This window comes from Homo sapiens, chromosome 15 (assembly GCF_000001405.40).
Source record: "Homo sapiens chromosome 15, GRCh38.p14 Primary Assembly".
NCBI lineage: Eukaryota > Metazoa > Chordata > Mammalia > Primates > Hominidae > Homo > Homo sapiens.
In genome coordinates this window covers 78,361,378-78,378,924 of record NC_000015.10, presented here as the reverse complement: position 1 = coordinate 78,378,924, position 17,547 = coordinate 78,361,378, and the positions used below count along the sequence as shown (strand labels likewise).

General features: G+C 46.4%; 1 annotated feature.

Moving 5' to 3' along the window:
• Positions 4,053–4,846: an enhancer, noted in NCBI's record as "H3K4me1 hESC enhancer chr15:78666421-78667214 (GRCh37/hg19 assembly coordinates)". NCBI's record gives its function as "activates a minimal SCP1, AML or CMV promoter by ChIP-STARR-seq in primed H9 embryonic stem cells {active_cell/tissue: H9 hESC(primed)}" and the evidence as "EXISTENCE:reporter gene assay evidence [ECO:0000049][PMID:30033119]".

Genomic DNA, 17,547 nt, shown 5'->3' with positions numbered 1-17,547 from the left:
CAAACAATCAATGGATCCAGGAGCTGGTTTTTTGAAAAGATCAACAAAATTGATAGACTGCTAGCAAGACTAATAAAAAAGAAGAGCGAAGAATCAAATAGATGTAATAAAAAATGATAAAGGGGATATCACCATTGATCCCACAGAAATCAGAGAATACTATAAACACCTCGACACAAATAAACTAGAAAATCTAGAAGTAATGGATAAATTCCTGGACACATACACCCTCCCAAGACTAAACCAGGAAGAAGTTGAATCCCTAAATAGACCAATAACAGGCTCTGAAATTGAGGCAATAATTAAGAGCCTACCAACCAAAAAAAGTCCAGGACCAGACGGATTCACAGCTGAATTCTACCAGAGGTATAACGAGGAGCTGGTACCATTCCTTCTGAAACTATTCCAATCAATAGAAAAAGAGGGAATCCTCTCTAACTCATTTTATGAAGCCAGCATCATCCTGATACCAAAGCCTGGAAGAGACACAACAAAAAAAGAGAATTTTAGACCAATATCCCTAATGAACATCGATGCAAAAATCCTCAATAAAATACTGGCAAACCGAATCCAGCAGCACATCAAAAAGCTTATCCACCACAATCAAGTTAGCTTCATCCCTGGGATGCAAGGCTGGTTCAACATACACAAATCAATGAAAGTAATCCAGCATATAAACAGAACCAAAGACAAAAACTACATGATTATCTCAATAGATGCAGAAAAGGCCTTTGACAAAATTCAACAGCCCTTCATGCTAAAAACTCTCAAAAAACTAGGTATTGATGGGACATATCTCAAAATAATAAGAGCTATTTATGACAAACCCACAGCCAATATCATACTGAATGGGCACAAACTGGAAGCATTCCCTTTGAAAACTGGCACAAGACAGGGATGCCCTCTCTCACCACTCCTATTCAACATAGCGTTGGAAGTTCTGGCCAGGGCAATCAAGCAGGAGAAAGAAATAAAGGGTATTCAATTAGGAAAAGAGGAAGTCAAATTGTCCCTACTTGCAGATGACATGACTGTATATCTAGAAAACCCCATCATCTCAGCCCAAAATCTCCTGAAGCTGATAAGCAACTTCAGCAAAGTCTCAGGATACAAAATCAATGTGTAAAAATCACAAGCATTCCTATACACCAATAACAGACAAACAGAGAGCCAAGTCATGAGTGAACTCCTATTCACAATTGCTTTAAAGAGAATAAAATACCTAGGAATCCAACTTACAAAGGATGTGAAGGACCTCTTCAAGGAGAACTACAAAGCACTGCTCAACGAAATAAAAGAGGACACAAACAAATGGAAGAACATTCCATGCTCATGGATAGGAAGAATCAATATCATGAAAATGGCCATACTGCCCAAGGTAATTTATAGATTCAATGCCATCCCCATCAAGCCACCAATGACTTTCTTCACAGAATTGGAAAAAACTACTTTAAAGTTCATATGGAACCAAAAAAGAGTCTGCATTGCCAAGACAATCCTAAGCCAAAAGAACAAAGCTGGAGGCATCACGCTACCTGACTTCAAACTATACTACAAGGCTACAGTAACCAAAGCAGCATGGTACTGCTACCAAAACAGAGATATAGATCAATGGAACAGAACAGAGCCCTCAGAAATAATACCACACATCTACAACCATCTGATCTTTGACAAACCTGACAAAAACAAGCAATGGGGAAAGGATTCCCTATTTAATAAATGGTGCTGGGAAAACTGGCTAGCCATATGGAGAAAGCTGAAACTGGATCCTTTCCTTACACCTTATACAAAAATTAATTCAAGATGGATTAAAGACTTAAATGTTAGACCTAAAATCATAAAAACCCTAGAAGAAAACCTAGGCAATACCATTCAGGACATAGACATGGGCAAGGACTTCATGACTAAAACACCAAAAGCAATGGCAACAAAAGCCAAAATTGACAAATGGGATCTAGTTAAACTAAAGAGCTTCTTTACAGCAAAAGAAACTACCATCGGAGTGAACAGACAACCTACAGAATGGGAGAAAATTTTTACAATCTACCCATCTGACAAAGTGCTAATATCCAGAATCCACAAAGAACTTAAACAAATTTACAAGAAAAAACCAAAGAACCCCATCAAAAAGTGGGCAAAGGATATGAACAGACACTTCTCAAAAGAAGACATTTATGCAGCCAACAGACACATGAAAAAATGCTCATCACCACTGGCCATCAGAGAAATGCAAATCAAAACCACAATGAGATACCATCTCACACCAGTTAGAATGGCGATCATTAAAAAGTCAGGAAACAACAGGTGCTGGAGAAGATGTGCAGAAATAGGAACATTTTTACACTGTTGGTGGGACTGTAAACTAGTTCAACCATTGTGGAAGACAGTGTGGCGATTCCTCAAGGATCTAGAACTAGAAATACCATTTGACCCAGTCATTCCATTACTGGGTATATACCCAAAGGATTATAAATCATGCTGCTATAAAGACACATGCACACGTATGTTTACTGCGGCACTATTCACAATAGCAAAGACTTGGAACCAACCCAAATGTCCATCAATGATGACTGGATTAAGAAAATGTGGCACATATACATCATGGAATACGATGCAGCCATAAAAAAGGATGAGTTCTTGTCCTTTGTAGGGACATGGATGAAGCTGGAAACCATTATTCTGAGCAAACTATCGCAAGGAGAGAAAACCAAACACCGCATGTTCTCACTCATAGGTGGGAATTGAACAATGAGAACACATGGACACAGGGTGGGGAACATCACACACTGGGGCCTGTCGTGGGGTGGGGGGAGGCGGAGGGATAGCATTAGGAGATATACCTAATGTAAATGATGAGTTAATGGGTGCAGCAAACCAACATGGCACATGTATACATGGGCAACAAACCTGCACGTTGTGCACATGTACCCTAGAACTTAAAGTATAATAAAAATTAAAAAATGAGTGTATTGAATGAATAAACAATATCTTTGCCAACAAGGAGTGATGCCAAAAAGCTGGACACAATTTTTTGCAATGAGCATATATTACTCTTACAATCAGAAGAAAACATTATTATTATTATTATTTTTTATGGAGTCTTGCTCTGTTGCCCAGGCTTGAGGGCAGTGGCAGGATCTTGGCTCAATTCAGCTTCTGCCTCCTGGGTTCAAGCGATCCTCCCACCTCATCCTCTTGAGTAGCTGGAATTACAGGTGAGTGCCACCACTCCCAGCTCTTGAGTAGCTGGAATTACAGGTGAGCGCCACCATCCCCAGCTAATTTTTGTATTTTTAGTAGAGATGGGGTTTCACCATGTTGGCCAGGCTGGTCTCAAACTCCTGACCTCAAGAGATCAGCCCGCCTTGGCCTCCCAAAGTGCTGCGATTACAGGCATGAGCCACTGCACCCAGCCAAGAAAACAGATTTTTAAAGTGGTGGTGGCCCTTGGAGTTCTGCCTCAGTCCTCTGTTTTCTCATTCAAATGGCCTCCCTGCACTCAGTCCTTTATGCCTGTGTTCCCTTCTCACCTGGCCGCTGTCAACTCCCACAAAACTCATCTCCCCTGCTCCTCTTCAGGCCCAGGTAGCCAGGTGCCTGCAGGGCCTCTCCTCCTGAGATCCCCTGTTGCAAACATATGCGTCATCTCCAGGCCTCTGCCCCGCCCTGCTCCACTTCCTCTTCCCTACCTCAGCGACCAACCCCACCAACCTCCCTGTGCTCTAGCCAGCATCCTGGAGGCCTCTTAGACTCCCCTGGCCCATATCCAACCCACAACCAAGCCCTGGCCTTCCACCTCACATGATCCCTCCTCCCATCCCGGCTGCCACCACTGATCCCCGTGGTCCTCTGGTTTCTCCTGTGTGGGCACCAGCTGCCCTGCCTCTATTCCTGCCTCAGCCAACCCATCCTCCACACTTCAGCCAGAGTGACCGTCCTCCAGAGTAAATAGGGTCACCTGACACCCTTTCTTAAATATCTCTATCCTCATAGTCTGCAGGATAAAGTCCAAATTCCACAGCATGGGCCATTCAGGGTTTTCTGCCTGCCTCTCTATTTACCAGTCTCCAGCTCCTCCCGTGCAGGGAACACCTCCAGGCCCTGTGTCTGCTGTTACGTCTGCCTGGAACACCCTCTCCCTCTTATACTGGAAAACCACCCATTACAGGGCTCTGTTCTGTGAAGTCTTTCCTGACCCATCCAAATGGAGGTGTGGTTCTCTCCTCCACATTCCCATACAACTCTGTACCCCCCTCACCACCGGACTGTGTGCCCTCAAGGGCAGGGCCCTGTGCAGCCTCAGCACCTGGTGCTGGCCTGGCACCGAGTTGAGTGCTCATTCCCTGAGAACCCGCATAAGGTGCCCACACCAGGCCTTCTCAGTGGCTCTGAAAATGAGAGCATAGTGGGACCTGGGAGGTAGCCTTGGCCCTCGTGGGTAAAGATGGTGTCCTCCTTGTTCTTGGCTGTGTCCGCCTTGTTCTTGGCTGTGTCCCATTGCCCAGCACAAGGGCTGACAATAGTAGGGGCTCAGTAAACCCTCAGCATGCAGACATGAATAAAATGAATCCGGGGGCTGAAAAAGCCCACAGATCTTCAGCCTAGCCCACATCACCCACCTATGTCTCAATATTTCACAAAGGAGGAAGTTGAAGTCCCCCCAAGGGCAGGGACTTGCCCAAGGTGAAACACTGGATTCCTTCCCTGACAAAAGACCAAAACCCAGGTGTCCTTCTTCCCAAGATTTCTTCCTCTCCAAAATCTACCAAGGCAAAAAAGATTCCAAAGAGCAGGTGGGGCTTATTGCTGACACCCCCAGCCCCATGCCTGAGCACATACTGTGGGCCAGGCTTAGTGTTGGTGTTCTCAGGCATTACTGCATGTGCTCCTGTGTCAACATGAGGAGGGAGGTACTATTATTATTTCTGTTTTACATCTGAGAAATTGGAGGCTCATGCTGCTGAAGTTACATGGCAAGAAAGTGCAGAGGCCGGGCATGGTGGCTCACATCTGTAATTCCAACATTTTGGGAGACTGAGGTGGGAAGATCGCTTGAGCCCAGGAGTTTCAGACTAGCCTGGGCAACATAGTGGGATCCCATCTCTATATATACACACACACACATATATATATATATGTATATATTATTACATATAGAGAGAGATCCCATCTCTAAAATATATATATATATATATATATTTTATTTAGAGATCCCATCTCTAAAATATATATATATATTTTTTTTATTTAGAGATCCCATCTCTAAAATATATATATATATATATATATAGAGAGAGAGAGAGAGAGAGAGAGAGGCAGGTGTGATGGCATCTGCCTATAGTCCCAGCTATAGGAGGCTGAGGCAGGAGGATTGCTTGAGCCCAGGAGTGTGCACCACTGCACTCCAGCCTGGGTGAGAGAGCAAGACCCTTTCTCCAAAAAATAAAAAATAAAATAAAGTGCTGGAGACAAAATTTGAATTCTGGGCCGGGCATGGTGGCTCATGCCTGTAATCCCAGCACTTTGGGACCCCGAGGTGGGGGGATCACTTGAGGTCAGGAGTTCGAGACCAGCCTGGCCAATATGGTGAAACCCCGTCTCCACTAAAAATACAAACATTAGCTGGATGTGGTGGTGCATGCCTGTAATCCCAGCTACTCGGGTGGCTGAGGCAGGAGAATTGCTTGAACCTGGGAGGCAGAGGGTGCAGTGAGCCGAGATCGCACCACTGCCCTCCAGCCTGGGCAACATACCAAGATTCTGTCTCAAAAAAAGAAAAAATTGAACTCTGACCTGACTCCAAGATTGGCATTCTCAGATCCCATGCTCCGCCCCTGGATGGCTTGGCTAGGAGTGTCTGAGGGGCGGGGCTGGCAAAGCAGTGCCTCCTATATGAGGGAGAGGGAGAAGACCTGATAGGGTGATGGCCTCTCTGGGACCTGGTCCAGCACTTGGAAGCCTGAGAGGAAGGGGGTCTCTCTTCCCAAACACCCTATGGCAACATGCCACAGGCCCTTCTCCACCCCTGCCTCTGCTGGTCTCAAAACTTGCAGTGCATTTCAAAGGGGATAAACCTGAAGGGCTTCTATTCAGGTGAGAGAAAGGCAGGATCCAAATGAAAGTCAGGTTGCACCCAGAGATGTTCAAAGCTCTTGTCATGGGGCATGGGGACTCTTCCCTCCATGCCCTGTAGGCCCATCCAGTCCCTTCTCCACAAGCTAAACATGCCCATCTGTGTCCCCAAACCAGCAAGAGTTGTTGGTTTTCAACTGGATAAAGTCCAGATCCCTTAGCTTGGCATTCAAGCTACTCTGGGATCCCATTTTTGACTATTTGTCCTACCTCATTCTCTCACTAAGCAAGCTCTTTGCATCATCAAGTTAGGCTGCTCACCATTCCTCTAAACATGTTTGCTGCTTTCCTGCCTCTAAGGCTTTGCCCATGCCTTCCCCCCTAGAGTGCTTTTCATTCCCATGTTCTCCTATTGAAATCTTACCATACTGGACATGCACAGTGGCTCACGCCTGTAATCCCAGCACTTTGGGGGGCTGAGGTGGGCAGATGACTTGAGGTCAGGAGTTTGAGACCAGCCTGGCCAACATGGCGAAACTGTCTCTACTAAAAATACAAAAATTAGCTGTGTTTGGTGGCACGCACCTGTAATCCCAACTACTCAGGAGGCTGAATCAGAAGAATTGCTTGAACCCAGGAGGTGGAGGTTGTAGTGAACTGAGATCGCGCCACTGCACTCCAGCCTGGGCAACAGAGTGAGAGGCTGTCTCAAAAAAACAAAACAAAAAAAAACAACAAAAAAAAAGGAAAGAAATATTACCATTCTTTTAAGCCCAGGTCCACTGGCACCTTCCCCTTTTCCCCTTCCATAGATTTTTTTTTTTTCTCTCTTAAATCCCAGGGCACTTCACTTTGTACAGACCTGCTGGCTCATGTGTGGATTATCTGTGTCTGTGCCCTTCTCCTAGATACCACAAGTGAGGGCAGCAGCAGTGTCCTATTCATCACCATAGCCCCCCGAGGGCCCTGTGCTCAGTAGGTGCTCTAGGAATGTCTATCAGACTAATAAAGGCATGAATGGACTCCTAAAATCAGTGGGAAGCATTTCTGATCCAAGGGAACCTGCATTTTAACAGGGACCACCACTTGCCCTAACGCAGAGAAATTATCCAAAACTAGGAAATAAAGCAAAAGGAGTATTATGTGCCCTTTAAAAGTCTCCTTAGAGTATGTCTGACTTACTATTTACTGTTGATTAGTGGCCAGACTTTGTAAAAACTGATGTTAACTGTAGAAAATTGATGTTGCAATTAATTTCTATATACTTCAAAAAAATAACCCTGAAGGTTGTGATTTGGTTGTCCTGCAGGACATTAACCAGTTTTGTATGTTACTTAGCTATCTTAAGTAACCAGCATTCTTACTTGCCATCTTAAGTAGCCAGCATTCTTTTTTCACTGACCTTACTTCAATTTCTAATATCTTCCTTTGAACCAGCTTTGCCATTCTGCTGGGTTCCCTCATTCATGAGTTAAAAAAATCTTTCACTTGTGTTCACTATATGTTTGTGTAAGAGTTATGTCTTTTAAATTTTTGAAAATTATGCTTTGACACAACTTTGGGCACATTAAAATCATCTGTGAAGCACTTAAAAGATATAGAATACCAGCAATTTGGGAGGCCAAAGCAGGCAGATCACTTGAGCCCAGGAGTTCGAGATCAGCGTGGGCAACATGGAAAAACCTGTCTCTACAGAAAATAAAAATAAAAAAATTAGCCAGGCATGGTGGCACACACCTGTGGTCCCAGGTACTCAGGAGGCCAAAGCAGGAGGATTGCTTGAGCCTGGGAGGTTAAGGCCGCAGTGAGCCACGATCATGCCACTGCACTACAGCCTGGGTGACAGAAGAAGACCCTTTCTCAAAAACAAAAACGAAGAAAGATACAGAAACCCAGGTTCTACCTCTGGGATTTTGACCCAGAAACTTCTGGATGGGACTTTGCTGCCTGTATTTTTAGTACTCTCAGAGAATTCTAATTAATAATCAGAGCTGAGAACCTCTCTACTGAAGGGCAACAGCCTTTACTAGGCTTTTTTGTTACCACAAACAAGCACTCGTTAAATGTTTGCCATTATTGCCTGGCACAGTGCATGCACCTCTAATCCTAGTTACCTGGGAGGCTGCAGCGGGATGATTACTTGAGCCAGGAGTTCAAGTCTGTGGTACAATATGATTGTGTTTGAGAATAGCCACTGCACTCTAGCCCGGGCAACATGGTGATACTCCATCTCAAAAAAAAAAAAAAAAAAAAAGCCTTTGTTATTGTTAGCTCTGGTGATGGAACTTCAGACACAGGGATGAAGATTTGGTGTACTGGTACTCTGGGTGTTCCTGAAATCATACCAGCTTCACATTGGGCCTTTTGGATCATGAGAGGCCATGGTATACAATACCAGGTGTATCATTGTATTAGTTTCCTTGGCTGCTGTAACAAATGGCCATATACTTAGTAGCTTGCAACACGGATGTATTATCTTACAGTTCTGGAGTTCAGAAGTCTGAAATAAGCCTTACCAGGCTAAAATCAGGGTGTGGATAAAGCTGTTTTTTTCTGTAGGATCCAAGGGAGAGTCTGTTCCTTGCCTCTTCCAGCTCCCGGTGGCTGCCAGTGTTCTTTGGCTCACGGCTACATCACTCCAGTCTCTGCTTCCGTGGTCACATGGCCTTCTCCAACCACCCACTTTGATCTCCTCCCTCTCCTTCTTATAAGGACCCTGTGATCACATTGGGCTCACCCAGATAAACCAAGATAATCTCTTCATCTCAAGATCCTTAATCTAATCGCAGCTTCAAAGTCCCTTTTGCCACCTAAGGTAACAGTCACACTTTCCGGGGATTAACGGGTGGACATTTGGGGAGGCATTATTCAGCCTACCAGAGTTATCCTTCTCTGCAGCCTCAAGATCCAAGGCATCACCCACTGCTGAGAGCTGACCACTCCCCCACCACCCTATATCACCTGGAGCCATGGAGGACCCACTGTGTTCTCAGTGTAGGGGATCAGATAGAGCAAGTGGAGGTTTTGCAAACCTCCAAAACTAGGGGTCCTATACTGAAAACAGTAATAAAGTTGGAATTCCAGGAGACAAGAGGAAGAATTTAGAGGCAGCTGCCTGTGGGTGGTCCGTAAAGCCAACATGAATGTCTGCCTGTCACACAATCAGGTCACCGCCACCTCTCTTCAGTAGCAGCCTGCCTTCTAGGCTGCAGCTTTATTTACGGTTGTATTAAGTTATTAAAATGAAAAAAAGCCCCACCTATCTACTGTTTATTTTCCTAGATAATAGAAACTAGTTAAGATTGCTGCATTATGTCTCCATTAAGTAATTATGATCTAAGAGCTCCACAAAAGCCCGTCAGAGAACAGGCAGAAAGTTCATTTTCCTCCCTGCATCTGAATGTGGCCTGGGTTTGCAAGGGCAAACAGGGACACTATGTGCAGTGGAAAAAGGCCTGCCTTCCACAGCCCCGTGCCAGGGTGAATGGCTTGGCAAGTGGGGTAGGAGCTGGGATATCTGGCAAGTGGAGTAGGAAAGCCAGACTCCCTTGAACAGTGAACAACCTGCGCATCTGAACACAGCAGCCCTCTTTTCCCATCTGCATCCACATCCTCCCCTCTATATGTGAACTCATTTCACCAGATCTTAGGGTTTACAAACTCTCAAAGCATCCCCAATATGACCTCAACAACCCCATGAGGCTGGCCAACTTGGTATCACTGTCCCATTTTAGAGATGAGAAAACTGAAGTTAAAGACATGAATGATTTGCCATCACCTGGCTAGTGGGTGATGCAGTTGGATGCAGAAGTGTCCCTTTCTTGACATCACTCAGTGCAAGGTGGGCCTGGGGTGGGGAATGGGGCATGCATTTTAGTGGGCAAGGCTTTCATCTGGGCTGTCAGCAGCCCAGACTTCAGGAAGATCCTCTTTAAGAAAGCTACCCACTTCCCATACCTCTGCCTGCCCTCCTCAGGGTTCTCACGTTCTTCTAATCCTGCCTCTGAGACACTCAGCAGATGCCACGCCCCCTCAGCACGACTGCTTCTGCTTCCACAGTGCAGGCTGTGGGGCAGATGATCCACATTTACTTATTCAAAGAAGTGAGGGAGTTAACGTACTTTGAATGGATTTTATCCCTAATTGAACAGGCGTGTAACCTTGCTGTGGGTCCTGACTGAGGGATGTCACACCAGGACACAAGCCTTCTGGCTTTTCATGAAGCATCAGGATCAAAGGCAGAGAAAGCTCAACCCACACTGACAGGAGGAAGAGACAACCTCCTTGGAGGACCTGGAAAACAATTTGGCACCTTGTTTTGGTGTAACTGAAAAGGTGCTCTAACTGGGAGCCTAGGGTTGGCCAAGGCAGGCACGTGGGTTCTGCTGCGCAGCTCAGCAATGACCTAGGCTCAGCGTTCCCTGCCTTTTCCCACCGAAGGGCCCCAGACATCTCACCCATCCTTTGTTGGAAAATCTTCTACTCCCTTGCTGGCAAGAGATAAAGCCCACCTGGAGATTTACGATGAAAACACTCACCAGACCAAGGAACCCACTGGAGAGGGCATGCAGTGGAGTAGGGGGTCACAGATGGAATTCAGAAGGTCTGTGGACTGGGATGAGTCATAATAAAAAAGGACATCTCTATTTTCCCTACCCTCTAACTGAAGATCAGCATTTCCTTCCATTATGAATGCAGACAACAAATCCCAGCAGTTTTAGCAGCACTTGGCATTCTGTCCCACAGAATTCACTGATATTTTCACACCACATCACAATGGCTACAGGTGTCTTGAGATATGGTTTACGCTCTTCACTACTTCAAAATTATAGTACTTATTAGACACACTGCCCTGCTGGATTTTTTTTTTTTTTTTTGAGATGGACTCACTCTGTCACCCAAGCTGGAGTGCAGTGGCGTGACCTCAGCTCGCTGCAACCTCTGCCTCCCGGGTTCAAGCGATTCTCCTGCCTCAGCCTCCTGAGTAACTGGGATTACAGGCATGTGCCACCAGGTCCGGCTAATTTTTTGTATTTTTAGTAGAGATGGAGTTTCACCATGTTGGCCAGGCTGGTCTCAAACTCCTGACCTCAAGTGATGTGCCTGTCTCAGATTCCCAAAGTGCTGGGATTACAGGCATGAGCCACTGTGCCTGGCCCACTGCTGGATCTTAATTGATGGGTTAATAAAAAAATATATTTCTATTTCCAATTAAAAAATATTTTGATAACCAAATCTCAATATAATTGGTTGCCTTTGTAATTCTGTTTTTGTTTTTTGTTTTTTGTTTTTGAGAAAGGGTCTCATTCTGTCACCCAGGCTGGAGTGCAGTGGTACAATCTTGGTTCACTGGAGCCTTGACCTCCCAGGCCCAGGTGATCCTCCCACCTCAGCCTCCCAAGTAGCTAGGACCATGGTTATGTGCTACCATGCCCAGCTAATTTTTAAATTATTTTTTAGAGACTGGGTCTCACTATGTTGCCCAGGCTGGTCTGGAACTCCTGTGCTTAACGATCCTCCTGCCTCAGCCTCCCAAGTTGTTGGGACTATAGGTGTGAGCCACCATGCCCAGCCTCAGTATGTGTTTTTAAAAATGCATTTAAAAACATTATTCTGAGCAGGGGTCCATGGCACCAAGAAAGTAAAAATGTGAAGAACTCATGCGTACAAAGTAACTTTACAGAAGGCGGGAGGCTAGAGGTTACATCACTTAGGAGGAGAATGTCTGGTTGAAAATACACTTTCAGCTGGGCACAGTGGCTCATGCCTGTAATCCCAGCATTTTGGGAGGCCGAGGAAGGCAGATCACCTGAGGTCAGGAGTTCGAGACCAGCCTGGCCAACATGGTGGAATCCCGTCTCTACTAAAAATACAGAAATTAGCCAGGTGTGGTGGCAGGTGCCTGTAATTCCAACTACTTGGTAGGCTGAGGCAGGAGAATTGCTGGAACCCAGGAGGCAGAGGTTGCAGTGAGCCGAGATCATGCCACTGCACTTCAAAAAAAAAAAAAAAAAAAAAAAAAGAAGAAAGAAAGAAAGAAAAGAAAAGAAAAATAAAAGAAAATACACTTTTTAGGTAGGGCACGGTGGCCCATGCCTGTAATCCCAGCACTTTGGGAGGCTGAGATGGGAAGATTATTTGAGCCCAGGAATATGGGACCAGCCTGGGCAACATAGAGAGACACGCCTCTACCCCCATCTCTACAATTTCTTTTTTCTTTAAATTAGCAGGGCGTGGTGGTACATGCCAATAGTCCCAGCTACTCAGGAGGCTGAGGTGGGAGGATCTCTTGATACCAGGAGTTTGAGGTGAGCTATGACCACGCCACTGCACTCCAGTCTGAGTAAGAGTGAGAACCTGTCTCAAAAACAAAAAAGAAAAACATTTTTTAAAATTACAGATTCTAGGGCCCTGTCACAGGCCAGGCTCTCTGGGAAGCAGACCCCGAGATGGAGTTTAGAGTTCAGAGTTCCGAGGGTTTGTCAGTGTTGTGAGGATCTACACTTGTGGAAGGGCGGGATGGAAAGCAGGATTGGACAGTCTCAAGAGTGGCCTCAGCTGACCCTACGGGGAGCTCTGAAGATGGGATGCTCCTTCAGAGTTGCTCTAAGTTGGGGTGAGGGGGCCAGGCCTTTATGCCCCATGTTCATCAGTCGTTAGATGCAGTTACCTCAGGGAAGGGATCTGACTTTGGGCAAGGCCGCTGTCTCCAGCTGAGGCGCCTCTCAAAGAGGACTGCCAGCTAGCTGAGGGCTTCCTGCCAGCAGCACGCCCAGTAGCTGGGGAGGAAGTCATTCATTCCTACGGGAGGGTCTGGGTGGTGGCTCACAGAGTCCACTGAAGGCTTCTACTGCAGAATTATTGTAGCTAAATTCCTGAATGCGGTCCAGAGTCTGTCATTTTTAAAGTTCTGTCAATGATTCGGATGGTCTGCCTGGTTTGGAAGCCCTCAATTTCAGGTAGTCAGAGCTCGAGAGGGCTCTGAGATCATGGAGTCTGAGGGACTTGGTTCGAGGCTATTCAGCCGGTCAGTGGCAGAGCCAGGAGGGTGCTGACCTGACCTTGGCCATGGCCTCGCTCCACTTTTAAATTTCATTCAACAGATATTTATTGAGAATCTCCCACCACCACGTGAGGCACTGGGGATGCACTAGTGAGCAAAAGAACACAGTCCCTGCCCTCGTGATACTCACAGTCCTGCGCCCCAAAATTCTCTCAGCTGGGCCTGCATCCACTCAAACACTGCTCATGGGACTGTGAGTTGGCAATCTCTATCAACGCCATAAATGTATCTACTCAGCATTTCCACTCCTAGGTATTTATCCTACAGCTAAACCTCCATGTGAGTGAAGTGACGTACGTACAAGAATATTCACATATTCACCAGAAATTCTTTATAATAGCAAAAACCTGGAAATACCCTAGAGGTTGATCAATGGGGTTCTGGTTGAATAAACCATATCCTGGGTAAACACTAAAAATAAAAGAGGTACCTTTCTATACACTGATATGAAAAAAAAAAACCCCAAAAAAAAACAAAAACAAAACTCCCAAGGCATATCGGTGAGCAAAAAAAGGAAGATACAGATAATACCAATTGTAACATGCCACCATTTGGGTGAAAAAAAAGGAAAGATACATGTGAATTTGTTAAGATTTTCAGTGAACCAAGAGCTTTAACAAAGAGGGAAACACTCAGTCCAAATAGAAAAACAGAAACCACTCAAGGTTTTTCACACAGAGATCATTCATAATCAATTCATAATTCAGGAAATTGGTTCAGTAAGTGATACAAGAGCTGAGAAACCAAATACACCTATCAGCTGACCCAAGACCTTGGGAAATAATAGCCTGTAAGGGCTTAGCCTCCCGGAATACAGAGAAGAGAAGGAAGAGGCTGAGGAGTGAATTGCAGGTGACCATAATAGTGTCCAGGATAATATGTTTAATAAATGCATAGAGTACGTCCCAGAGGCCACATAAGAAATAGTCATGGTGCTTGTCTCTAGGAGTTGGAGACTGGGAAGGAGATCTAGATTATATAGGGTGCCCTTTGGCATGAGTGTATGTTGCCTATTTGAAACAAGACACTTGCCTGACATTCATATTTAGTATATTGGTAAAGGCAACGCCATTATATTTTTTCACTGGAAAACATCCTCCTGGAAACGAAATGCCAGCAAAATCTCCCCACACATTTCCTGTAATTATACCCCCGAAGACAGCATACCAATTTTTTCTGTGCATGCTTTTCACAAGTGTCCTCTTCAAATCCTCCTTGGATGAAGCGCAGCTCTGAGAGAAGGCAGAGGCCACTGGAGTGGGGAGGATGTTTTCCTCTCATCAGCAGCTGGCTTGCTGTGTGATCTCACACCACATCTGTGGCCACTTAGGAAGCTGCCGGCTGGAAGGCCTCAGCTGGCATCCCGGAGCCGTGGTGCCTGCCAGCGTGTGTCTGAAAGGGCTGCTGCTTCACCCTCCGGGGAACAGCACACACTGGGTGCCACTGGCCAAAGCCTACAAGGGAGGAAGATGCGGGCTCCTGGGCTCTGCCCTGGACTGACAAGTTCTGTAACTCCATATAGAAGATGGATGGTGGAAGAAGTAGAAAGGCCAGCTCTTGTCGTTGACAATCAACCCTGGTAAACTGTAGGAGGCACGGGAAGTATAACTAACTTGCCCAAGGTCACGCTGCCCTACAATGACAGAGGTGGGATTCAGCCCAGATCTGGGTGAGATCATGAGCCCAGCCCTCTCACTGTGCAGACAGGGATACCCGGCCACTGAGGGTCACAGAGGCACCAGCCCGAGGGGCTCTGACCTTCCATGTCATCTCCCTTGTCCCTTAGGGGGTCTCAAATCAGACTGCCCCAACTCTACTACAACTCTCAGAGCCTCAGTCTTCTCTGCTATCAAGTGGGACTTTACTACATATTTAAAATATTGTTATGAGGTTTAAATTTGTCAATGACTATAAAGCATTTAGCACATAGTGGGCTCAACAAATGCGAGTCCATTTCTTCCTTTTGTTTCAGTATCTTAATTCCTGCTCCTCGTACTGAAACCTCGCAGGGTTACTAGAGGCTCAGACAAGAACACTGACCTCTCTACAAAAGCCTCGGGCTGTACCGGAGTCCCACTGTTGGGCCTGGGAGCTGGGCTGTGCATCTGTGGATCCTTCTGCCCTGAAATCCAGATCCATGTTTGCTTGGCATGCCGTCTTCCCTCCTAACTCAAGGCAGAGAATTCAAGTTGGGTTAACTTTCCCTGCTATTAACATTTCCACAAATGCTTTCCCAGCTATTTTCATCAATTCTGAACAATTTTCTTAAGAAGAAAGGGAAACGCCCTCTCAGCTTCAGCCTCCTGCTCCTCTGGGTTCTCTGGCAGATGAACTTCTGTTTGCTCATCTGGGACTCCGCTCAGCTCCCTGATTCCTCTCCCCGCAGAACAAGGTGGTCTCAGTAAGTAGCCAGATCCACTACCCAGTGGTGCAGGTTGCACCTCTCTTTCTGAGTCTCCCAGGCAAGTGTTCCGGGCCTGTCTCCTGGCCCCAGAGCTCTTCTCTCTGCCTGGTGGAGGCCATTTGGTCCTCGTGTGGGCTCAGTCCCTCTCCAGTCTCTGGGCTGATGCTGTCCATGGTTGATACTGATGGGAGGAGCCTGCAGCTGTCATTTACCTCAGTGACTTCATTCAGGTCAGCCTTGCTGTGGGCTTCTGTGTGACCTCCAGCCTAGAGGAGCCCCTCTGTCTCGTGAGAAACAGCCTCTGGCCCCGTTTCCCCAGGGCTTCATAGTCTATTGGGGCGATAGGCATGTCGTGAGATGATCACAGCCCAGTGTAGCCAGGGCTCTGCAGGAGCAATGCAGGAGGAACTCAGGGAAGAAACAAATAAAGGAAGAAGCACTGAAGTTTTCCCAGATGAGTCAAAGACAGTGTTCTAGTTATCTCCTGCTCCAAAACATAGTGGCATAAAACGACCATCTATGCTTCCAGATTCCATGGCTCAGGAATTTGGATAGGACACTGCAGGGTGTGTCTTCCCTGCTCCGTGAGGCCTGGGCCTCAGCTGGGGTGACTCTAATGGCTAGAGGTGACTTGAAGAGTTGGGCTGGGTTGGCTGGGCTGGCTGAAGAGTGGGCTCAGCTGGGACTGTCGACCAAAGTGCCTACTTGTGGCCTCTCCAGCCTGGTGGTCTCAGGACAGTTGGACTTTTTACATGGTATCGGGGGTTCAAGTGTGAGTGTTCCCAACGAACAAGGCAGAAGTTGCATGGCCTTTTATGACTCAGCCTAAGATGACACATAGCATCACCTCCAACATACTCTATTGGGCATAGCAGTCATAAGACCAACCAGATTCAAGCGACAGGGACACAGAATTCATCTCTTGAGACCAAAATCTTGCAGCCATGTTTTAAAACTGCCACAGAAGTTTCTGCAGAAGAGGTAACCCTTGAGCTGAATTTTGAAGGCAGAGTAGAAGTTTTCTGGATAGACAACATGGTGAGGGTGTCCTAGGCTGAGGGATCAGGATATGCAAAGGCCCAGGGGCACAAGAGTGGACTGACTGCATGACATGTCATAAGTCCCACAAGACTTCCCAGGAGCTCAGCACACAGACCCTTCCTGCCAACTCAGACAGCCATTGCTGGCTGGTCCTTCCCCGAGTGCTAAGAGCCTGCTGTGCCCCAGGGCCCGTCAGCCGAAGGCTCACCCAGATCACAGGTTGAGTGGCAAGTCCACATCCCAGTGGCCTGGCCTCACCTGGCTCCTGAGGCTGTGGTGAGCACGCAGGGAGATGCCACCTGGGAACAGCTTTGAATGAAGTTCAGTCAGACTCCATGCCTGTGTTCTCATCTCCAGCTCTTGACTTAGAAACCCGAGGCCCAGCCAAAGCTTTCTTGGTTTGGTTTTTCAAGGTACTCTGTGTCCATTGGCTTGAATCCTAGCAATTCTTTCCATAATGCTTAGTCCTTTTGAGGGAAGCATAAAAACTCAGACTAGATTAAGCAAAAAAGGGAATTTATTCATTCTTGTGAATGGAATATTCCAGGAGCAAATCCTGGAGTTTAAACATCAGAATTCTCTTTGTTTCTCATCTGCTCATTTTTGTGTGTTGGCTTCGTTTTCAGGCAGAGTCTCCCGCAAAGTACCAGTGATGACCCCACAGTTCTAGGCTTACCTGATCCCCGTAGCCAGCAAACCCAGACGAAAGAGAGCACCTTCTGCCTAAATGCTCCGGCTGCGGTCCCAGAGAGGGCTCTGATTGGCTTAGCTTGGATCACATGCCTGTCTCAGAACTGATCACCATGGCCATGAAGCTGCAGTGCTGTAATTGGCTATGACTGAATCAAGGGCTGACCCCTGTTAGGCTTATGGATTAGCCCCACAGTAACCACATAGAATCACTTCCTTTCTAGAAATAGGGGCTCTGTAACCTGAAGAGGAAGGGAAAATGTAAAAGGCAGATGAA